General features: G+C 45.7%; 1 annotated feature.

Annotated features, from left to right (window-relative positions):
• Positions 363 to 442: a silencer, noted in NCBI's record as "silent region_8913". NCBI's record gives its function as "represses an Ori minimal core promoter by ATAC-STARR-seq in GM12878 lymphoblastoid cells {active_cell/tissue: GM12878}" and the evidence as "EXISTENCE:reporter gene assay evidence [ECO:0000049][PMID:35858748]".

Below are 3,431 nucleotides of genomic sequence, written 5' to 3'. Positions count from 1 at the left end.
GAGCAATGCTAGTGCCACCACCCCAATCAAGCAGGGCTCTCGAGAGCTGTGACTTTTGAAAACAGACTGTTCCTGGTTTCCATAAGGTGAAAACAACCAAAAAAACAAAAAAACATTCTCTGGGATTCCTTTTCTCCCTGGCAGCCTACGGGCAGTGTCCAAGCCTCATAGGAGTTTTGCCCTGCAGTTTCCCAGCCTGGAGTGTTTGGCGTGTGGTCCATGGGGAAATCTGTGCATTGAAATGTAGCGGAGGAATAAAGAATTTGGGCACGATTTGGGAAATCTTTGCTTGGGTCTTTCCTTGTGTCTTTCCTGGGACAAGCCTAATTCACCTGTTCAGCACAAATGTATTAAATATGTACTCTGTGCCAGGAAACAGTACTGGGCAAGGTGCTGGGGAGACTGTCATGAATAAGTCTGACACTTGTCACCAGGGAGCTCACAGTCTAGGAGGGAAAAGCAACAACGGACACATGTTTTCAGAGCTGATGATTGTTCTGAAAGGGGAAGTGTCGACTCCCCATTCCCTGCCCTTGACCTGTTGTCTGTATCATTGTTTGTGTCTGGTTCTATCCAGCTTAAATTATAAACTTTGAGGGCACAGTCGTGTTGCTGGCATAATTTTTTTTTTCCCCAGAGGTTTTTTTTCTGCTACAGGCACAGAAGAGGCGTTTTAAAAATCAAACTGCAGCGTGCGATAATTACACGGGGGAACTTGTTAAAATGCAGATTCCCCGACTCTGCCCTCAGAGGTTCTGAATTCGTGGACCAAGGGTAGGGCCGGAGAATGTGCATCTTTAAACCCAAACACTCAGGGACTGTGGTTCTGGAACTCTGTATGCCACACTTAGAGAACACTCTCCTAGGATTGGGGCTGCTTGCTGGTGTTCTTTTATTCCCACAAAATTAAACAGAAAGCAGAAACTTGTGAAAAAGTGAAACTGACAAAAAGAAATGTCAGGGAGAAGACATCTCTTTTTGTGAAATTAACAAATCAGGTAAACACTGACTGAATTGAGCAGAATTCCTGCTACGATAGGTATTCCTTGTTTGTTTTAATTAAGTCACTTAGGTAGATGATATAGTACTTAAATCAGACGTTTGAGTCCCTTTCCCTTTCACTGAAAAGGAACTGAAAGAGCCACAAGCCTCATAATACGTGACTTAAAAACTTTCCGGCTGGGGGCAGTGGCTCACGCCTGAAATCCCAGCACTTTGAGAGGCTGAGGCGGGTGGATCACGAGGTCAGGAGATCGAGACCATCTTGGCCAACATGGTGAAACCCTGTCTCTACTAAAAATACAAAAATTAGCCAGGCGTGGTGGCACATGCCTGTAATCCCGGCTACTCGGGACGCTGAGGCAGGGGAATCGCTTGAACCCGGGAGGCAGAGGTTGCAGTGAGCTAAGATCGCGCCACTGCACCCCAGCCTGGTGGCAGAGTGAGACTCCATCTCAAAAAAACAAAACAAAACAAAACAAACTTTCCATCACAGATGTGTGTTTTCACAATTGCTTGGATTTCTTTGATATTTTAGGAATGAAGGCTTGTTAATCACAGATCCTAGACCCTAAGTGGAACAAGACAGTAAGGTAGGTGTACTGAGATTGTCACGATGGCCACTTCTGCGTCCATCGCATGGCCCACAGGTGACAACTTGTCAGCATCCCTACTTGAGAGTTGGTCTCTGCTGGGTTCGTGCACCAGATCTTCTGCACTGCCCTTGCACATTGTTCTGAAAGTCAAACAAACCAACGTCTTGTCAGCCAACCAGGGAGCTGTATCTGTGTGCCTTAGACAAATCCTGTGCCCTCTCTGAGTCCTGGCTTGCTTATCTGCAAACTAGCCGTTCCTGAGAGTTCCTGCAACTCTGATAGCATATGGTGTGACCACATCAAAAACAGGTCATCACCCTTGCCTCGTCATCCCCACACCACCTACCCTGGCCCATTTTTCAGCCCAGCTTCCAGAACAGAACCTGGCACAGAGGAAGCTCAAACCACATCGGTAGAGGGCTCTTTGGTTCTCAGAGTGGCCCTGGACTTGACCACTCTGTATCTGGCATATTTTGGAAATATCTCAGTAGGAAGAAAGAAGCTGGAGATGGTCATATTTTTTCCCTTAAAGCTCCCCTTCCTCTTCCTTCAGCCTCATTCAGTTGCTGACATTCTGGGCCCTGAACCTAATGCCAATTTTCCTCCCACTTCTTCTGACTCATATCTTTCATCATGTCTCAGGAGAGCGGCGTCTGTCACTCCCCTCTCCTGGCAAACATGAGGGGCTTGGGAAGAATGTCAGCCACAGCTCAGTGCAGCCAGGACTGGGCCTGATCCTGGAGCAATCGGTAAAGCTGGGAGGTCGGCTGCCTGTTGGGGTCTTGCACACTTAGGTGGAGGCACTTTCTTTCTCTCTCAGCCATATTCCTCCCTTCCCCCTTGAAGCCTTAGAAAAGAGAAAAGCATACTTGCTTCTTTTCCCTGGATCCTCTTTGAGTTGTAATTTTGAAGGACACTAAGTATCATTTACTCTGTTGGGAGTGAAGACTTCTGCATTTTTTGCTGGCAGCATCAAACAGCAATGGGCACACGAGGGGATGGTCCTGAAGTTAAGACCACTGGGGTCTCACCTCCCTCCATAATTCTAACCTTTTTTCCATGAGATTTCCAGAGAGAATCTTAGCTGAAAAATCCAACCAGAACCCTTGCCAGTGTGTCTGGGAGAGGAAAGCTTATTCTTGCAAGGGCTTTCCAGTGCCTTCCTATAATTACAGCTTGATTCTAAATGGTTATTATTATGAAGCCAATGCAATCACTGCCAAGGAGATAGGAAAGATACCACATAAGCCACACCAACACAAGGTTTAGGGAAATCAGGGTTTTTACTGGATTTCAGACTAAGGCATGGTGCTGAGAACCAAAGAGAGGAATCTTTAGCTATGTACACAAACTCTCAGATTCTTAGGTAGAGAGAGGAGGAAGACTGAAATGAGATGGAGGAAAGAGAAAATCTTAGGACTGGTGGCAAAGAGAGTAGTGACTTAGAATGCAGAGATCCAAGGTCAGATCAGCATTTGTAAAGATTCTGGAACCTATAGAATGCTATGATGTTGAAATGTGTATTTCCCCAAACTATTACTCATTTCTAAGTGTTTATATAGCTCACTACGTGCCAGGCATTGTCCCAAGCACTCTCTATATATTAACTCATTTAATTAAATTTCCATTGAGTTTCACAGTTTCTAGATTTATGGAATTTTCACCTAGAGACATTTAGCAAAAGCTGTGATCACTCCTTATCCAAAGAAGCTCTTGGAACTGTGACAGATCATTCTAGATTCCAACCCACACTTTCCCTGTTAGCACCTGCATCTCTGTGGCTTGCCTTCTCCAGTCCCGGAAATGTTTTAACCCTTTGTCTGCTCGAGGGGACAA

The sequence above is a fragment of the Homo sapiens genome, chromosome 17 (assembly GCF_000001405.40).
Source record: "Homo sapiens chromosome 17, GRCh38.p14 Primary Assembly".
Lineage (NCBI taxonomy): Eukaryota > Metazoa > Chordata > Mammalia > Primates > Hominidae > Homo > Homo sapiens.
This window is presented reverse-complemented; position numbering and strand designations above follow the sequence as displayed.